Below are 21,393 nucleotides of genomic sequence, written 5' to 3'. Positions count from 1 at the left end.
GATGACAGCACCAGACTGTCTTCAGTGAAACTCATGCAAAAACCTTAAGAAGCCACATCCCCCAACCCCTCCCATGTTTCTCTCTCCACCTGGTATTCATGGTGACCTTTAAGCTTGACACCCCACAGGATGAGACATCAGTGCAGCCGTGTTGGGCTAAGTCAGCAGGGCCTTGATTTCCCCAAGGGCCCAAGTCTACCCTGTACTGTGTCTCAGGATATGCAGCTCAAGGTGCCTGCCCTACTCTTGGGGTCACCAGGAGATACTCCTAAGTCCTGGTTCCTTTAGCCAAGAGAAACCAACATCCCTCTTGTTTTCTGTCCTGAGTGCCAACTCACTCTAATCCAGCACACATTATTAAAGTCCCATGTCCCGAAGGTTCTGGGGGACTCTTTTGATACCCCCCTTGCTTTGCAGACTCATTCAGTAAACATTTATTTCGGCCCCTATTTCCCAGGTAGTAGGATTGTAATAAATAAGACACAGTCCCTGTCCTCACGGAACCCATGTTCTAGCTAGGGAGGCTGACAGTGCAAGGTGACTGTCATCCAGGGAGGAGGTTTGGGCCTAAATGAGAATTTACCTGGCTAAGAGGTAGATGGGGCAGGCTTTCCAAATATGAAAAAAAATGAATGGCGAAGACTTGGCAGCCTTAAAATGCACAGGCTAATTTCCCTTCCCTGTTTGGTGGGATTACAGTATAGGGAAAACAGTAGCTATCTCTGAGCAGGGTTGAAGACCTTACTTGCCTCCATCCATACTGCACTGTTTCTTAACTCCTTCCAATTGTCTCAAGGTCTTGGCCCACCACTATTCCTCTACCCAATGGGATTTACTCCTTTTTCTTCATCAGAATTTACATACTTAAACTACAGTAAAAATGCAGTATGCTATAATATGTGACAGAATGATTAAAAATGTAAGTTCTGCAGTCAGGTGGCTTCGTCACTTGGTTTTGTAACATCAGGGAAGTTATCTAATTCTCTCTTCCTCAGTTTCCACATGCAAAAAAATAAAGAATACTAATAAATCCAATCTCAAAGGTTGTGCAGGAATTAAACATGATCATGTAAGTATGGTATTTAGCACATTATCTGACATATAGAAGATGCTTAAGTGTTAGCTATTGTAGTTGCTCTATTCTTTCAACATATTTATTAATATCTACTATGCACTATTTTAAGTAGTGAACAAGACAGAAAAGGTTCCTGCTTTCATAGAGCTAGAAAGTGTTCTCCAATTATTTTATATTATTATTGCTTATATAGTTAGGTTTATGTATTATTTCAGCCGACCCCACTGGATAGTATTTCCTGAGGCACTATTCTTTTGTGTTTTAAATGGCATGCTGTACAGAATTGTGGATACAGCTTAATATCTCTTTGTAGGCCAGCTACTCAGTGCCATTTACTTGGTTTGAGAACTTATTTTCTTGGTTTGAGACCCCAACAATGAATAAACCAGGAGAAATCTCTTAGTTCCTACTAAATATATACTTAGTACTTTACTAGGATTCTAAGCAAGTTGAAAAGATGGTCACTGTGATAGCTTGGGAAAAAAAGACCAAAGCACTGGAGATAAAAATGAAAGGGAAGAAAAAAAAAAAACCTTAGAAGTTAATTAATTGCTAAATTATTTGGTAATGGACAGTAATAATAATGTAATTTACAGGAATATGTGACTGATGTGGTTTGGATAATTTAGAAATTTCATGGAAGGAGGTAGAAACCAAACTAAAATCCTGAAGAGTTCACATCGTTGGAAAAGATCAAGAGAAGATTCTGGGAGGCCAAAATATAAGTAAATCGCCAAAGTGGAAATAAAGACAACCATTTTGTCATCCTCATTTTTATATTGCATGAAGGACAGGACACAATGAGGCCCCATAAATGGTTGTTGACTTAAGCACAAGTGAGGAATTAATGGAATGGATGAGAGCCGAGGTTAGGATGGTGGCTGGGCAATAAAGAGGAAGGGAAGTAGAAAATACACATTTTGAAGATGGAACCAACAGGACTTACTTACAAGAAAATATTAAAGCCTTTACAATTTTCAAAGTGATTTCACATACACTGTGTCCTGGGCTAGTATTCTTTCTTACAACAGCACACAGAATTTGTACCAAGTTCATTAGTGGTTCTTACCCTGTCGTCCACGTAACCAATGTCCTCTTATTATGACCAGTGTTTTAGTGATTGCTTTACTCTCCTCCAAAATTTACTCTCCTATAAATTTGTATATATATAAAATTTATATATGTAAATATGTATTATGTATATGATTATATATTAAAAATTACATATATAATTTTTTTAAGAGACTGGGTCTCACTCTTTCACCCAGGCTGGAGAGTGTAGTGGTGTGCTCATAGCACTCTGTAGCCTTACACTCCTGGGCTCAAGTGTTCCTCCTGCTTCAGCCTCCCAAAATCCTGGGATTATAGGCATGAGCCACTATGTCCAAATGATATTCATTATTAATGTAACCTACTTGAATACATAATTTTGAAAATGTCAGCATCATGCTTTACTGTAATATAAAGGAAAATTCAAAGAATGTGGTTAATGTTAAAACATATATTTCAATATGTAAAAGTCCAGGCATGACTACACCAGAAGACATAATGAAGTGATCAGATATACCTATACATAGAAAGTGACAACTGCAAATGGAGAGGATACAGGTGTGCTATATTAATAACTCAAATAGCATGGCCTTCAGCAATATCGTTCTCTAAAATAGTAGGAGACACTTGGTAAAGTTCCAAAAAGAACAAAATACAGTCTTCCCTCAGTTACTCTGCACTTACATCCCAAGAGTGTATAAAAACCATGCGAAAATACTTTGATATATGTGTGAAACAGAGTTTGGTTCCATGCTCAAGTGATTTTAAGCACATTTCACTTACAGAAATGGCTAATGGCACTTTGGGAAGTCTTTGGGGTGTGGGACGGCGTTTTCATTGTGCAAGACCGAGGCATTGTGGGACATCTAACATTCCTGGCTCCCAGCCATTCCATGCCAGAGGCATCTCCCTATCATTGTCACAACCAAAAGTGGCTCCAGGATTCCACAGTGTCCCCGAGGGAGCATTTGCAACCTCACTGAGAAACACTAGGCTGGATGTTGGCCTCACAACTCATGGACGGTGACAGGGAAGTTGGCGATGAGGCAGGGGGCAGATTTGGATGTCCAGTCCAGAAAAGGAGTTGGTTGCACTGCTTTTTTAGTCAAGGAGAGTCTTCACTTTCTTAAATATTTCAAACCTGGCTTTTCCAACCTGGTAACAGTTTCAAGTTCTGACCCCAGGTGGAAGATAAAATGAAGAAAACACAATATTTTGTAGGAAAAAAAAATGCAACTCCTTTTTTTGTTTATTTATGTTAAGGGCCAACAGATGTGCTTTAATTCCCTGCCCTTCTTGGTGGGTCACTGATAGGAATGCACTCTGTCTCAGGAGGAGGAACAGTCCAGTTCTAACAGGAATTTTTGAAATAGTTCTGAGATTTAATTCTTGTTTTCCTTTAAACTTACAGGTATGATCTTATCTACTTTTTCTTCAGTTTTGTAAAGGATGCAATAACGTCTGATTCCTCTTGGTATTTGCATTGTGCACAATCGAATGTTTTGAGCAGATGTGTATGATTATTTAGTATTAGTGCTCTGCAGGTTGCTTCTGCCTGGGAGTCTTAAAACAAACAAATCAAAAGGGCTTGATCCACTTAGAGTACTTTCCAGAGGATTTTAAGTCTTGGATTTTTATTTAACAATGACGATACCCACACCCTCTTCTTTCACAATTGTGGGTGCATTGTATCTAATTTGTAAATAGTCATTTGGCTCAAAGATACTGGGCACATTTCAAATGCACGCTAATTTATGACATTCCAAGAAGATAAATCTGTTTGCAGACTTATTCCAAGACTAAGTTTATTCATTTGCCAATCAGATGCATACTATTCACAGCACAGCAGGTTAGGCATTGTGGGGAAATCAGAAATACTCCGGACCCTTTATACCCTCAAGGAGCCTGCTGTCCAGCAGGGATGATAAAACCGCATGTACATGTTATCATAAGTAAGTGGTGAACCTCCAGAAAAGTAAGATGGAGTACCTATGGAGTCTCTAAGGATGAAATGGTATTTTCCACTGGAGGAGGTGAAATTTGAGGTGGAATTTTTAACTTGACAACCTTAAAGGTTCATTAACATTTAGATGGGTAAAATGTGTTAAATTTTGTGGAATGGCTTTCTGAGCTAAAATAAATTCAAGTAAGTTTTTTTTTTTGGTGTTTTTAAGTAATAGGAAATCTGACTTCCCATCACTTAGTAGTATGCATTTATTGTCTGAGTGTAATTAAGTGACTTGGAATAATTGGTAATAATTTTGTTATGAAGAAATCTCATTCAACATTGCTACCTTCCTTAAAAAAAAAATCCTCTAATTTAAAAGCTGGATCTTTTTTCGAAGCTTTGCTTTTTTCCATTGAAGAAGTCTTTTTCACAACTCCAGATCTTGGGATACCACTGTGATATTTTAAAACTCTGGAATGTACCTTTAATTGGATTCATGGTAAAGTGCCATCAGATAGAAGGCAGACCCATCACGATCATTATGTAAAGAATTCAGTTGCTAACGTAGGAAAGGGTTCTCATTACCAGGTGGGTCCCACGTATTGAACTTGAGGACAACACAGAAACTGAGCCAGAGCCACTCAGGACCCTGTGTGGTTTCTGTGCCCTCCCTGTTAGACCACTTGTGTCCCAGGACTTGAATCTAACTGCCTCCTGCTCCCTGGTGCTGGTTCAGACTCACTGTCCATCTCCCAGTGCCCTTGGCTTCTGCCTGTACCACCTGCCTGTGGGCTGGAGATTTGACTCAAAGCAAGTTAGTCCAGGTGAAATCTTGGCTGAAGTGTCATGCTTGTCAAAACTTACTCTGTGTTGGAAATGTTTTCTGTCGGGTTTGGCTGGCAGTTACTGAGTATATGTATAAATGTAAAAATTTATCATTTTTATCAAGGCATACTCTTAAGATTCATGCATTTCATGTATATTGTACCCCAATAAAAATGTAAAAATAATAATAAAAATAAATTCTCCCAGTCACTGAAGTATTGCTACTTTTGGTTTATCTTGGGGTGATTAGCAATGATGTATTTATTTTTAAGTATTTAAAAGTAAATTTTCAGAACTTTTAGTGTTCTTCTATTTCTTTTAAAATTCTTTTTCAATTAGTTGAAATAACCTAAATAGCCAATAGTGGAAGATTAGTTGTAACAACTATTTGTAATAATTGGCCAAAGAAAGAAAAGTTTTTGAAACAAAGATGGAAAAAACAAATTTCTGGGAAAAAAGTGAAAATTCTTGTTGCAAAAATATACTTTTGATGCTTCCAGATTTCCAGTACATTTAAATACCTAGAATTTGTGGATGCTGATTTTCAACAAAATAATTATTTCAATCAAGTTGTCATATTTACTGATTTGCATTGTCTCATACTGTTCAGCCAATTCTTAAACCAACTTCCTTCCCCCAACACCACACACACACACACACACACACACACACACACACACACTCTCTTTCGGTTAAAATTCAGACTGAAGTCTAGTGCTGAACGAACAGTAATTGCATGGTAATGTCAAACTGAACAAAAATAGAACTTACAGGAAAATCTTTACATTTAGCTGTGCCTATTAAGGTTCAAACACCGAAAGAAACATTCCCTTCTAAAAAAAAAAGAGCTTTAAAAAAACCAAAATTTGATGCCACTAAATTATAGAATTAAATCTGTGAAGCCCAGGGACTGTATGGAAATTAAATTTGGATTTCTTCTCCCCAACAAACCCAGCCAGCCTCCCCATCTTGAATAAATTTACTGACAGGATGCAGTGCTTTTTACCATTATTATTTTTCAAAAAGATAGACATTTAACATGAACTCTTTTGTTGGAACAGGACAGCTGGGAAGTGGTGGAAGGACTGAGGGGGGAGATGAATTACACCCAGGAGCCACCAGTTCAGAAAGGATTTTTGCTGAAAAAGAGGAAGTGGCCCTTAAAAGGCTGGCATAAGGTAAGGTTGGTCTTGGCCTCCCCTTTATTTGCACTCACACTGCCCCACTCAGCACCTGGTTCTTAGGTACTCATATTTAATTTCTAGTTGGAATTTGAGACCAAGAAAAGGGCACCTAAATTGAATGCCTTAATTAATAATACTTTCTTCCCCACAGAGATTCTTCTATCTGGACAAAGGAATCTTGAAATATGCCAAGAGCCAAACCGATGTAAGTCTTTTTGTGGGCCCACTGTGGTATTGAAGAATCCTAAAGGGGTAACCATCAGCTCAGAGATGAGAGTGTGTATAGTTGAGGATAGCTTTTCTCGGAACTGGAAACCATAGAGGGGAAACACTTCTGTCTGAGCTCTGGGTTCCAGGCAGGCTCAGTTCTTCCACCAGGTCAAGGTGCAGGGGCTCCCGCAACACTCTCTGGGCATGCAAAAGTCTGTTCTGGTCTTAAGGTTGTGCTAAGGAGTTCCTGGGGTGGGAGAATACATCCTTGCAGCTAGATAACAGGAACAAAACATAGGGCATCCCTCCCTCTTGCACTGTGACCGAGAGATTCCGGGGAGAAGCCCCTGGGTGAAGAAGTTCCTTTTCAAATTAATCCCAGGCAGTTGGTGTGTGAAGGCTCTGTGTGTGAATGACCATTTGTCCTGTCCCTTGTAGGAGTCCTACTCTTCTCCCTTCTTCCTCTCCTGTCCTCTCTCAGCCTTCTGCTCTCACTTCTTTTATTAATACATCACTTCTAAATGAATTTAGACACCAGAAACTCATTCAGTGGGAGGTGGTACAGTTGACAGGTGAATTCACTGCCATGGGAGTCAACCCACGGTGCTTACTCTTTTGTTTCCTCACATCCTGGCTGTGTAAACTGCTTGTTACTTAACCCCTTTGTACTCCAGTTTCTTCATCTGTAAAATGGGGAGAGTACTTCCTACCTCGGAGATTCAGGAAGACAGTGCATGTCCAGCACGTAACTCAGCACTGGCTCACGCTAAGTGCTTGATGAGTCGCAGTGTTTGTGATTTTACTATCAGGGGATGTGGAAGGGTGTGTCAGGGATGTGACTACTGCTTCTAACACCATGGTCCCCAAGTGACCCTCTTGGTGCCTCTGCAGATAGAGAGAGAGAAGCTGCATGGCTGCATTGATGTCGGGCTCTCAGTGATGTCTGTAAAGAAGTCATCAAAATGCATAGACCTTGACACCGAGGAGCACATCTACCATCTGAAGGTGAGGCTGCTTCCCACTGTGCAGAGTTCACTTATGTTGGGGAAGTATCATCAGTTATTATACTATTGGTAATGCCTTTTGGGTATTCGGCCAACATGTAGAAGACCTTCATTACCAAAGTGTTTCTCATGTACAGTGTTGGTATTTGAATGGGACGTCATTGTGCAGGACTGTCAACACTGCTTGAGGGTTTAGCCTGCTGGTCGCCTCATCCCCTAGATACGAACCTGCCCCCAGTGACTGTGACAACAGTCAACAATGAAAAATTTTGTTTCCAAACCATCTCCACCCAGGCAGTAACATCTTTAGTGAAGAACCATTTACCATAGGTTAAAACGTGTTCCTGAAATATATATGTAACATTTAGGCCATGGAGCCCTGTTTTATCACTTTGGCTAATTTTATAGGAATCCCACTAAAATTCTCATATTGTAGTGAAAAATGTCAGGAATTTTTCCCCTGAAGTGTGGGTTCCCAAATAGTACTTCAAAGCTGCTTACCCTCTTGTGCTGTCTCTCCTACAGGTGGTAGAGATAGTCAAAGCATGAAGCGTGAGATCTAGATCTGGTTCAAATCTTGATGTGGCTACTCACTAGCCATTGAACTTTGGCAAGTTAATCTCTGAAAGTCTCAGTTTTTTCACCTATAACAAAATGAAAATTATTGTAATACTTATCTTGTCGGGTTGCATGTAGAAAACTTGGTATAGTGCCTGGCCCAGTGTAAACTCAGGAAGTTTAGTTATTGTATGTGCTTGTTGGATGGTACCCAAATGTTAGAAATTAATTGAGAAAGTACTAAGACTGTTTTCTTACTTGGGCAAATTACTTGAGATATTGGGAATGGGGCCTGAGGATTAGGAAAATCAAAGCATGAGATCATGAGCTCCTTGTCTTAATGTGTCCCTGTCCTCTCTATGGCATGTGTGTGGTGATTGAGCCGTGTGGGCCACATACCTGTGGTTTGTTGAATGGGCAAGACAGTCAAATCTTCACTATTTCCTAGCCTAACTGTATCTCTGGGTGTAGCTAATTGTGTAAAGCAGGGTTTCTCAGCCTCTGCACCATTGACATTGTGAGCTGGATGTTTTGGTGTGGGAGGCCGACTTTGTACAGCAGGATATTGAGCAGTGTCCCTGCCCCCTGCCCTCTCTCTAGATGCCAGTGGCATCCTTCTCCAGTTATGACAACAAAAATGTCTCCAGACATTGCCAGGTGTTCCCTAGAGGATAAAATCACCCCTGGCTGCAAATGACTGGTGTGAAGTATGGGAGGGAAAAGCCTATATCTTAAGATAAAAAAGAAATTTAAGAAAGAATACTATCGTTTTTTCTGTTTCATTGATCAGTCTCCACTAGAATAGTTTAGGTTATTTCTTCAGGTACTTCCAATGAATCTTAGTTCTGTATTTTGACATGGTCAGGAATTAATAGGTTCTTATTTACCCACTATTCTGGTTAACAAAATAAAAGTAATTATGAATTCATAATTTTTAAAGAATTAGAATACCTGAAAATATATTGAATGCTAATATTGTGATAAATGCAGTTTAATATTTCTCTGTGTGATTTGCTTTAAGTTCTGTTTGGTTTCTTGTTCATTCTTTTGAACATCGGTTATGACTCTTAGTGTAGGTAAGTGTAGTTATCTGAGCGTTCTAGTTATTAGACTCAGTCAGGCAGTTTTTAATTGTGGGCTGTTTGGTCCCATTTATTTTATAGATAAGGGATCCTGAGTAGCAGAGAGATTAAGAGGCTGCTCACCCACGGCCCTAGAACTGCTTGAGAGACTGGAACAGGACCCTGGACAGTTATTTAATAAAGTGCTCTTATTCTTCTACCTTGTTTAACTCATAGAAAAGTGAGTCCAGATGAGTGCTTGGGCACTGACTTATAACGGCCTCTGAGAAGAGATCAGAGGAAAGGATAACACAAGATTCCTGTAAAATTCCTCTTAACCACATCTGGGAAATGAAATACATTTCAAGAACACAATTTAGGGGAGACAAATAGGTGTGAGTCTGTTTGTATTGCTTCTTCCTGTAAATGACACATTAAAAAGCCCCTGCAGGTGCTTCCAGTCTTATAGGTACTTCTAATAATCAACACCAGAGCCAACCTAACAGTTCCTCAGTGAGTGATATTGCTGGCATTTATTTGCATATCCTAGCTCTCATCTCTGGCATTAGTAAAGATTTTCACAGATTGACCTGAACTTTTCATCTTGGAAGTTAACCTACTGTGCATCCTTTTGGATTATCTTAAATTACAGCTTCATAAATCTCGGTGTCCTAATATGTGGGTATCTATCATTTATCTATCATTTTTTTACCTTGAAAATATCAATACACCATCACACACAGACACACACACACACACACACACACACACACACTTTTTTTTTTTTTCTTTTTTTTGAGACGGAGTCTTGCTCCATCACCCAGGCTGGAGTGCAGTGGTGTGATCTCGGCTTATTGCAACCTCCCCCTCCCAGGTTCAAGCGATTCTCCTGCCTCAGACTCCTAAGTAGCTGAGACTACAGGCGCACACCACCACACCCAGCTAATTTTTGTATTTTTAGTAGAGACAGGGTTTCACCATGTTGGCCAGGACAGTCTCGATCTCCTGACCTCATGATCCACCCTCCTCAGCCTCCCGAAGTGCTGGGGTTACAGGCGTGAGCCACTGTGCCCAGCCAAAATTGACTTTTAAGAAATATCTATGGTATATAGGTGCTTGTTATAGTCTTTTTATATATATCACATATTTTTATAAACATTTGAAATATCTTTAAATAAAAACTACTAGTTACAGTATTCTTCATGGAAATTAGAAATCGATAATTGTTCATTTATGGAGAGATGGCTAAAGGTTTGTGAGTGTGATAGTAATAAAAGTTAGAAAAATAATACTATTGCTGTATAGTGCTTTATTTCTGAGAGTGGGAGAAATGTTTTTTTAAATAACTTTCACATTCATTAACATATTGTATTAGTTCGTTTTCACACTGCTGATAAAGACATACCCGAGACTGGGCAATTTACAAAAGAAAGAGGTTTAATAGACTTACAGTTCCACATGGCTGGGGAGGTCTCACAGTCATGGCAGAAGGCAAATAGGAGCAAGTGACATCATCTGTGGATGGTGGCAGGCAAAGAGAAAGAGTTTGTGCAGGGAAACACCACTTTATAATACCACCAGATCTTGCGAGACCCACGCACCACCACGAGAACACCATGGGAATGACTTGCCCCCATGATCCAGTTACCTCTCACTGACCAGGTCCCTCCCACAAAATGTGGGAATTCAGGATGAGATTTGGGTGGGACATGGGACACAGCCAAACCATACCACATATACTCCTCAGCAATGTATTCTTTGTTGGAGAGATGAACAAGTTTAAATATTTTAGGAAGAATTTACTAATTCATTCCAGTTCAGAAAAGATTAATCTGAAAAGTCTGAATTATAAAAGAGTTTAAAAAGAAAAATGGTGCTAATATTTTCAGTAGGGATAGAGAAGCTGGAATTAGAGAACTTGGAAATGCTTTAAGAGACAGATAAATGTAAATTTCAGTTTATTTGTTGCTTAATATAATTGGCACTGTTCTGTTTTCTTAAAAATAGCATAACAGGCCAGGTGTGGTGGCTCACGCCTGTAATCCCAGCACTTTGGGAGGCCGAGGCGGGCAGATCACCAGGTCAGGAGTTCGAGACCAGCCTGGCCAACATGGTGAAACCCCGCCTCTACTAAAGATACAAAAAATTAGCTGGGCATGATGGCGCACACCTGTAATCCCAGCTACTCGGGAGGTTGAGGCAAGAGATCGCTTGAACCTGGGAGGTGGAGGTTGCAGTGAGCCAAGGTTGGGCCATTGCACTGCAGCCTGGGCAACAAGGCAAGACTCCGTCTCAAATAAATAAATAACAGTTGGACTTACTCATAGAAAGCCAAAATACATACTTTATAAAGATCATTTTTACTCTGCATTTCTTTCTCAAACTTGTTCCCATAGACCACATCAATGTAAACAGTCAATGAGAGGCTATTTCTCCATTCCTTTTCTTTTCTTTCTTATTTATGTATTTTTTTTTGAGACAGTCTCCCTCTGCCACCCAGGCTGGAGTGCAGTGGCTCAATCTCGGTTCACTGCAGCCTCAACCTTCCAGGCCCAAGTGATCCTCCCACCTCAGCCTCCCGAGTAGCTCAGATCACAGGCGTGTGCCACCATGTCTGGCTAATTTTTTTGGTATTTTTTGTAGAGACAGGGTTTCACCAGGTTGCCCAGGGTGGTCTCGAACTCCTGGGCTCAAGTGGTCCTCCCTCCGTGGCCTTCCAAATTGCTGGAATTACAGGCATCAGCCACTGCGCCTGGCTGTTGAAATTACGTGCCAACTGAAAAAGAGGATTTTGAGAGTGGCCTCAATTTGATGAGTAATTGTTCCTTCCAGTGAATGATTCTCTTGTTTCCTTTTTTCAATCGAATATATTATAGGTCAAGTCAGAAGAAGTCTTTGATGAGTGGGTATCGAAACTTCGCCACCACAGAATGTATCGTCAGAATGAAATTGCCATGTTTCCACATGAAGTTAACCACTTTTTCTCAGGGTCCACCATCACAGACTCTTCATCTGGGGTGTTTGACTCCATTTCAAGTAGGAAGGTAATGAGTGTTTTGCCAATAATGAATCTGAGAACGGGGTGGCTTTGTTTCATGGAGTCCTGTCTTGGGAGCTGAGTCCGAAGAAGGAAAAGTTTTCGGGGACAAGCAGGGTAGGCTTGGGCTGGTATTTAATTAGTCTGTTTGCCCACTGAGTCAGAACCAAGACCAGACAAGCATCTATTAGTTGGGGCGGGGGCGGACAGTGACTGAAGAATAAGGAGGAATTTAGCATCTCTGAATGAACTAGCTTTATCCTGACTGGTTTGAGTTTGGTTTCCTTTTCTGGTTGTAAACTACAGTAGGTATGCATATAGCTATGCAGGATTGCAAAATATTTCCAAACATTTATATTATTATTTTGATGTTATTAATATTTGATAAAAGAAGAAAATTAGGTCCACCATTCAAGGCATGTCGTATCATAGCACGGTATGGCCAAGCCGGGGTGATAGCCAGAGGTCTTAGTACTTTGCTAGAAGCTTCTTCCTCATTATAGGCAGATGGTGTCCATTAGTGACTAGCCCACTCTGTTATCCTTTGTCTTAACATGTCCCCAATGGGCTCTGTTTCCATTTACAATGTGCTTTTGTCATCCGTGGAACAGCGTAGCAGTATATCAAAGCAGAATTTATTTCAAACTGGAAGCAATGTATCATTTTCTTGTGGTGGTGAGACACGAGTTCCATTATGGTTACAGTCTTCAGAGGACATGGAAAAATGCTCCAAAGGTAGAGTGACTTGAAACGTCTGCTTTCTGTTGTGGCTATTAGATGATACTGGTTTGATGTTTACACTTCAGATTCATTTGTGTCCTTCCCCTATGCTTGTCCACATTCCCTTCCATATTTTGCTTGTAAAGGTTGCACCCATCATCAACAAAAGACACTCTCCTTGCAGATCTTTGCATCTTCACCTGGCTGTACATGCAGACAGGTTTCTTCTTCTGTTCCTTCAGTATTGATGCCTGATACTGATGCCTGATTTCCACATGGGCCTATAAGTCAGTCTCCAAGGGCAGAGTCTGACACACATCCAAGAAAGATTGAGAATCATTGTGCTAGAGGTGAGGGAGTGATCAGATGGAGATCTTCACGATGTAGGTGTTCTGTACCCTGACTGCACATTAGAATCACCCAGAGGGCTTTTAAAATGCAGTAATACCCATTCCCAGTCCTCTGTCTCAAATAATCTCTTTAAATTGGTCTGAGGTAGGGCCCTGATATCACTAATTTTCCAAAGTTCCCCAAGTGATTTTGATAAGGCGCCTGCCATAAGGAAACTCAGCATTCTCAACCTTAATTAGCTAAGACTGACTTAGGGAACTAAAAACCGAAAAGATCCACAGCGGGACTGGGAGTGCTCTGATTGAATTGTCTGGGGGTGGGATTTAGGCATATATAATTTAAAAGATTTCTCCAACTGATTTGAAACTGTAGCCATGATTGAGAACCACTATTAGAGAAAGATACCAGGTGGCAGCCTTGAAAATTGCATTATCTCTTGTTGAATACAGGTAATATCACCCTTGGGACCATGTAGGCTTTACCCCTCTAATAAATATCACTCATGAACTTTACCAAGTGACAGCTTGTCAAAGCAGTCCCTGAAGCCTTGTCTCTGGAGCAGCAGCGTCCACCCGGGAACTTATCAGCAATGCACATTGTCAGGCTCAACCCAGATGTATGGAATAAAAAACTAGGGGTGGAGCCCAACGAGCTGTGGTTTAACAAGGTCTCCAGGTGGTTCTGATGATATCAAAGTGTGAGAGCCTCTAGCCTAAGGCATTTGGGCCTGTATTCTTCAGCAGAAACATCCATCAGCATTCAGTGAACAGCAAATATGGACTATCTTTTGAGTTAGCGACTGGGATCTGGTTGGAGAGTCCTCTTATGTCCTCTCAGGTCCATGTGCAAGAGGCTTATTATGGTCCTCAGGCAGGTCCATGATTGACAAAGTTTTCCTTAGAGACCAGTACAACTTTCATTTTAGTTTTATTAATGTGCATTGGGTCCTGACAAGTGGATGGTGTCAGCATATTACTACAGGATTTAAGTTGGTGATGATGATGATGATGATGGTTGATTTATTTAGTTCTTACTCTGTGCCAAACACTCTTCTAAGAACTGTGCAATATCAACTCATTTAATTCTCACAACTCTCTTGTCATGTGATGTATAATTATCCCCATCTTTCTGATGAGGAAGTTGAGGCATGCAGTTTTGCAATTTTCTCAATAGTTACAGTTCATTAAGTGGATTCAAACTGAAGCAGCCTGGTTCTCAAGATTCATGCCCTTAACCACTAGAGTCTACAGCCTTTCCTGTAAAAAAGGAAGTAAAATTTCCAACCCTTACAGATGAAAAAAAAAATCAACTACAGATAAATAAGGAAAAGTAGCTGGCATGGGGACAGCACAGTGATCCCTCTTGCTAGTGGAGCATTGTGAGCACTGTCCTCTTTTCCCCCACAGACCTGGCGCACTGTCATGCCTACCTGGTAGAAATGAGCCAGCTCCTGCAAAGCATGGACGTCCTGCATCGGACATACTCGGCACCAGCTATCAACGCCATCCAGGTGAGCCGGACTCCTCTTCTGTTGACATTCTGGCCCTCTTCTGCTTTCCTTTCTCCTCCCAGCCTTTCACTAACAGTGGGATGCTGTGGTCAGTTGCTTCAGCCAAAGTCAAGGGGATGGAGGTGGTCACTTTGCTATGCATTTATCCTTGTCGGTTTGGTGGACTTTACTGTCTGTGCTCTCTTTCCTGTTTTGAAACAAAGGGTGGATCTTTTGAAAGTCCCAAAAAGGAAAAAAGATCGCACAGGAGGTGGCGGTCCAGAGCTATTGGCAAAGATGCTAAAGGAACACTGCAGGTAACCATTGCTTCCCCTGACAGACTGGTTTCTTCATTGGCCCTGCTCTGCATGCCGTGTGCCAGCAGCTACCTTGACTCAGCTAGGAGAATAGATGAGTGAATATTCTGTAGTTGTTCTTTCCAGTGTCCTCTGTAGCGAGATGAATTGAATCACTTAGATTATCTGGGTGCTAGGATAAGCACATAATGGATCGTGGGCAAGGGAGAGAATTTTTTCTAAGGGAAAAAGGGTGTGAGGTCGCAGGGACTGCTGCCATTTCTAGGGCTTTTGGTTTCCCCACCTTCACTGTTGAGCCTGCCTGTGCTCTTCCCTGCTTGTGTTTGTGCCTTGTTTTGTGGCTGCAGTTGCTGTGTGCTGTGACCTGTGTCTTCCGCTGATGCTCCATGGATTTGTCATCCCTCTAAGCCCACAGGCCTGATTCTCTGGGCACAGGACATGGTGTAGATTCTCCTTGGCCTCTTATCTCCAAACTCCCAATCCCTCATCCAGGATTCACTGTGTCATGCTAGGAGCTTTCCCAATGCACAGCTAAGCCACAGGCCAAGATTTGCAGCTTAACTGTTGCATATTAATTGCAACAGTTTTAGAATCAACATAAATCTCAAGCTTTTGGTTAGGTCACCTGATACACTTGTGTACACTCTTTGGTTCAAAGTAGTTTATGGACTGAAGATAAGCACTTTGGAAGTAAAGAATGTTCCATGTACAAATGAAGGTCATTTGTTTTGTAGAAGCCCTAGGTGCAAAGAAAAGCATTTTAAACCTATCCATTACTAACCGCCTGGATACATGGATGATTATTGCCAGGAGGAAGGAATTGAGTATAAATGAGAAAGCCTGGCAGCTTTAGCTGTCATTTTCAACCTATAGCTTTAATGCTTCTATCATTTCCAAAAGAATATGTGATTTCTCACCCATTTTTAGCTCACAAGAAGCAAGTTTCTGTGGAAAGTGTTGTCTTGAGTTCTCATTTTTTAAAATAAGTTATCACTCAGTAGAAAGACCTACCTAGGCTGGGCGCGGTGGCTCACGCCTGTAATCCCAGCACTTTGGAAGGCTGAGGCGGGCAGAACACAAGGTCAGGAGATCGAGACCATCCTGGCTAACACGGTGAAACCCCGTCTCTACTAAAAATACAAAAAATTAGCCGGGCGTGGTGGCGGGCGCCTGTAGTCCCAGCTACTTGGGAGGCTGAGGCAGGAGAATGCTGTGAACTCGGGAGGTGGAGCTTGCAGTGAGCGGAGATTGTGCCACTGCACTCCAGCCTGGGTGGCAGAGCGAGACTCCATCCCCCCCAAAAAAAAAAAAAAAAGACCTACCTATAAAATGTTTTGTATTTGTATTACCATGTTTCAATCTTAGAATCAAGTAAATATTCTAAGCAATCTGCATCTGAAAAGAAATATCTCCCTTTGGTGTTACTTCAGGTCCCGAAACCTTTTTCTGGCCCAGTAAGACTACACTCCTCCAATCCTAATTTGTCAACACTAGATTTTGGAGAAGAGAAAAATTATTCTGATGGCTCTGAAACCTCATCAGAGTTTTCTAAAATGCAAGAAGATCTGTGTCATATTGCCCATAAAGGTAAATGAGTTTTCTTTCTTCCTAATGTGTTTGATGAAAATGTTAAGTGCATGTCTGAATGTGAGATGTCCTTAGAGAGAGTATCTTAGTTGGTTCATTTTCTGCTCTATTAAGATTTAGGGAAACCTAATCTTTATTTTATTTCCCTAGTAGTGGAGAATGTATTGGCAAGAACTTTCTTTTTAACCTTGTGGGGGAGACAATGAGAGAGAGTTAGTACTTTAAAAGCTGAGCAATTCATGTGATGTTGGTGGGAGTGTAAATTGGTAATTTTCTGGAGGGCAATATGATATTATTTTCTCACTATTTTTAAAATCTGCCTATCTAGCAATTCCACTTTGAAGAATTCATTGTAGGAATTAACTTAGAATTTATCCAAACAAAGTATCCATTTTGCATTGTCACATCAAAAATTAGAAATAGGTATTCAACATCATTAGCCATTAGGAAAATGCAGATTAAAGCCATGATGAGATATCACTACACACCTATTAGAAGAGCCAAAGTTAAAAGGAAATATAGTATCAAATGCTGGTGAAAATGCATATAAATTTAATCTGTCATACATTGCTTGTAGCTATGTAAAATGGTGTAGCCACTCTGGAAAACAGTTTGGCAGTGTTGTATAAAATTAAACATGCATTTACCATGCAACCCAACACTCATTTCTGAGCATTTGTTCCAGATAAATGAAAATTTATGTCCACACACAAATCTATACCCATGTTCAAAGCAAGTTTATTTGTATTGGCCAAAGACTGGAAACAAACTCAAGTGGTTTTCAACAGATGAATGGTTAAACAAACTGTGGTACATCCATACAATGGAATACTCCTCAGCAATACCAAGGAACAAACTATTGATATACATAGCAACTTGGATGGATCTCAGGGACGTTATGCTGACAGAAAATAACCAATCTCAAAACATTACATAGTATAGGTGTATTACTCCATTTTCATGCTGCTGATAAAGACATACCCGAAACTGGGTAATTTATAAAGAAAAAGAGGTTTAATGGACTCACAGTTCCATGTGGCTGGGGAGGCCTCACAATCATGGCAGATGACGAAAAGCATGTCTTACATGGTGGCAGGCAAGAGAGAATTAAAGCTAAGTGAAAAGGGAAACCCCTTATAAAACCATCAGATCTCATGAGACTTATTTACTACCACAAGAACAGTATTTGGGAAGCCACCCCCGTGATTCAATTATCCTTCACTGAGTCCCTCCCATAACACATGGGAATTATGGGAGCTATAATTCAAGATAAGATTTGGGTGGGGACACAGCCAAACCATATCTGTAGGGTTCCACTTACATAAATGTTTTGAAATGATATAATTATGGAGATGGAGGAAGTAAAGGGGAGTGTGATTATAAAGGGGTAGCACAAGGGATCTTGTAGTGATGAAAAATTCTGTATCCTGATTGTGGTGCTGGTTACAGGAATGTGGACATGTGATAAAATTGCATTTACTTATACCCACACACATACAAACAGATCAGTGAATGTAAATCTGGTGAAATCTGAATAAAATCTGTAGATTATACTAATGTCAACTCCCACGTTTTTATATTGTACCATAGATGTGTAAGATGTAACTACTGGGAGAAACTGGGTATAGGGTATGTGGGACTTTACTATTTTGCAATTACCTGTAAGTCAATAATGATTTCAAAATAAAAGGTTAAAAAAATAGAAATAATCTAAATGCCAAACAATAGGGGATTGAATTTTTTCAAAAACGTAATATAATAGAATACTCACTAATAATAATAATGAGAGCTACTTAACATCGAGCACATAACTGTCACGTCAGGTATTTGCTAATTACTTTACGTGCATTATTTTAATTCTAGCTGCAGCCTGCGAAGTAGGTATCATTATGATCTCTATTGCATAAATAAGAAACTTGAGACTTAGATAAAATAACAGCTTCCTGAGGGTCACATGGTTACAAAGCAGCCAGCATGAGACTTGAATTCTCACCTGTTTGACCCCAGAGTCCATAATCCTTACCTGGTATTTCTCTGCTCTTACAGATGGAGTGGCCAGCGTTATTTTTTATAGTTGTAGAAAGATGTCCTCAGCATAAAATGTAAAGTAAAAATGTAAGGTTACAAAACAATATATAGGTATGATCCTATTTCGGGCATATATAGGTATACTAAAAAGTCTGGAAGGATATATACAAACATTTAAGTGATGGAGGCTGGAGTTCTAAGTGCTTATTTATCTTTCTGCTTAACTTTTTTTTCAATTTTCATATATTATTTCTTAAAGAGAAAATGGATTTAAAATTTTTCAGTGGGAGGGCAGTGTGTAATATGGGAAGAGAGAAGATATTCCCTCTATTGCCTTCCTTTCCTACTTCGTATTTTTGTTTCGTACATTACTGATTCCTTCAGCTCTCTCTTCCCTTACCCTCTAAATTTAAAACATGTTGGATATGAGGTGGGTTATAAGGAAACCATTTCATCCTTTATACAGATTGCTACCTGGAATGCTTGTCCTAATTACCATTAGACTGTTATGAGTGTTTTGTTGTGCAGTTCATCCGTGAAATGGCAAGAGTTACCTGGCCCACCCTTAAAGGATCTTCAAAGAATTTGAAGAATTAAAATAATCAGTTGCAATTAGGGCATCTTAAGTTTTGTGGGAGGAAATTCCTATAAAACATTGTTACTTTTTAATAATACAAACTTTTAAACAATGAGAAGATAATGCCTCCCTACACAGAGGAAATGTCCTGAGTTTCACCTCCATTGAAGAAGCTGCCTCCTCAGCAGGACAAAGGTTGCCATACTGAGTGGATCCATTGATCCAGTCCTCCTGCAGAGGTCTCCACCTTGTTGAAAGTCTGTAATGGGCCCCATCCAGCAGTTCTGTCTTTCCCACTTTGTGAAAACCTGCTGGCTGCAGAGCTGCCACATACCTAGACTGGGCCAAGGTTTGTCCTGGAGAAAGGTCCAATGCACTTATTCAACAGTTGCCTGAGCCCTGTGGGCTTACAGACAACAAATTCCACAGGGAGCCTAACAAGGTGTTTCATTCCTGTGGTTTTACAGTACACTTGCAGAGAGGGAAAGATCTTCCTTTTCCTGGTTCAGGGAGTCTCTTGCACAGATTGTAATTTGGGGGCCTCAGAGAATAAAGACAGCTCTCAGGTTTGTACTAAGTCCTGTGACCTTGCATGCCTTCTCACTTCCATACATTCAAACTCGAAGCATCTTGACCTTTCTTCCTGTGTAAACCTCGTTTTGTTACTGACAGTATCTATTGTACTTTCTCGACTGCATCACTATTCTGTTGACTACAATTCCAAAGCAGCTGAACTAAAGGCAAGAATTCCAGTGATGTAACATAGTCTCTGCGACCTTCACCTTGTTAAATGCATCTGAATTCTCCTGGTTTTGTAGATCAAATGGTAGGGAACCAAAATACACCCATGCTAGTTTTAAAAGTCCTTATTCTATATTATAGACTGTGAGTTTGATTTTTATGGCATATTGTTGAACCAGTTGTTGGCTTATGTTTCTGGCTTTGTGTGGATGTTCACACACATATAAGCAGAGAATGAAATATATTGAAACCTAAAAGTCTTAAGTAATTTTTGTTGCATATATTAGCTTTTACATTTCCCAAAATATGTTTTATGGAACACTTTACCCATAAAGTACTTCTAAAAATGAAACAAAAACTTCATGATTAAAAATGTTTGGAAAACACTGCTGACTATGGTCTCCTTTGGATTTACATAAGAACAGTAAATAGTAAAGGCCCTGAGAAGTCCTGCAGCAAAAAACAACACAAAAATCTGTTGGCTTTGTTTAACTCAGTGACTTTCAATATTATTTGGGAATCTTCCCCCCTATTCCCAACAGCTATTAACATCCTGGAATTTAAGTTTCTGAGAAACATACTTTAAAAAACATTGTAAATAATAAGCCTTTTTGGAGCTCCCTCTGTACTGGCTAAGTAGGCCACCTCTGTTACTGACTAGCTGTGGAAATTTGACTTCATTTATTAACCTCTCTGGCCCTTGATAGCCTGTTAAATGTCGTATAGTAGTTGTCCTGACTCTTTTGGTTCTCAAAATCTGTAGTTATTTTCTTTGATTATTTTACACTGAATAGAAAGAGTCCCTACTATTGCTTATTGTTACAAGAAGGCTTTCTGAGAGAGTGTTCTGTTAGCAGAAACAGAAATGACCAAACTTGGTGAGGAGATTTAGGATGGCAAAGCAAGGAACAAGACAGGGCTAGGGTCAGGTGTTCTGAATGGAAGCGGATATCTGTGTTCTTTGACTTGGAAGGGAAGCAAATGATGTTTTAGGGACACTTTTCCTACAAGTGAAGGAAATCCTCATTCACAAATGTGAAAGCTACATAGAACAAAGTCAAAACTGTATTTACCTATTCTTTTCTTTCTGGATTCTTTCCCTATGTTGAGTAGTAAGTATTGAGTGGTCATTTTCTGAACCATTTTCAGCTTATGGAAGCATTGAATAAAAAGCCAAGTGTGTTACAATGATACCTCTTTCATAGATTAAAAAGCTAAAAGAGATATATGACTGAACAAAAAGCCAAGTCATTTATTGTTCATAAATTAGAATTCAGCATAAATGTGCTGAGCAATTAGATTCATAAGTAGGACCATTTAGTAAAGTTACCTAATGTATCTAAATCAATTTGGATGGAATATGGGTTAAAAAGAATTTTAAAATCATGGGCATCCTGTGAGGTTTGAAACTGCTGCAGATTACAGAAGATCAGAGTGTCCCAGATATATTAGGAATGTTAACATTTCAAAGAAAATTCACCTAAAATTTGGTTTCCAATTAAAAAGGGGGAAAAATGAGTCTCACTGTTTGTTAGGTGCTCTGTGATAGTAGGTTTTCTCATTGCTTAAAGCGCTCCTCAGATGTGCCCATCATCTACATGTACAGATGTAGAAACGTATTTTGGACAAAT

The 21,393-nt window shown here is 40.0% G+C and overlaps 1 protein-coding gene across 43 annotated transcripts in view; it reads left to right on the top strand.

Annotated features, from left to right (window-relative positions):
• The window catches only part of OSBPL3 (oxysterol binding protein like 3), a 185,309-nt gene that overhangs the window by 103,817 nt on the left and 60,099 nt on the right, over window positions 1–21,393 (top strand). For 27 of the 43 annotated variants that reach the window (NR_104111.1, XR_007060001.1, XR_007060005.1 and 24 more), the window contains 8 exons: window positions 5,960–6,076; window positions 6,234–6,287; window positions 7,184–7,297; window positions 11,792–11,959; window positions 12,564–12,687; window positions 14,430–14,533; window positions 14,737–14,829; window positions 16,260–16,416. Coding sequence is in view for 33 of the 43 variants with exons in the window: in XM_047420134.1 (XP_047276090.1) it covers window positions 5,960–6,076; window positions 6,234–6,287; window positions 7,184–7,297; window positions 11,792–11,959; window positions 12,564–12,687; window positions 14,430–14,533; window positions 14,737–14,829; window positions 16,260–16,416 (931 nt within the window). In the remaining 10 variants the exon portion in view is untranslated. Of the gene's footprint in view, window positions 1–5,959; window positions 6,077–6,233; window positions 6,288–7,183; window positions 7,298–11,791; window positions 11,960–12,563; window positions 12,688–14,429; window positions 14,534–14,736; window positions 14,830–16,259; window positions 16,417–21,393 lie in introns of those variants that run through there. The other 16 variants (NR_104112.1, XR_007060007.1, XR_007060004.1 and 13 more) reach the window with 2 other exon arrangements.

This window comes from Homo sapiens, chromosome 7, assembly GCF_000001405.40.
Source record: "Homo sapiens chromosome 7, GRCh38.p14 Primary Assembly".
Lineage (NCBI taxonomy): Eukaryota > Metazoa > Chordata > Mammalia > Primates > Hominidae > Homo > Homo sapiens.
Note: the sequence above shows the minus strand (reverse complement) of the source record. Positions and strands in the feature narration are given on the sequence as shown.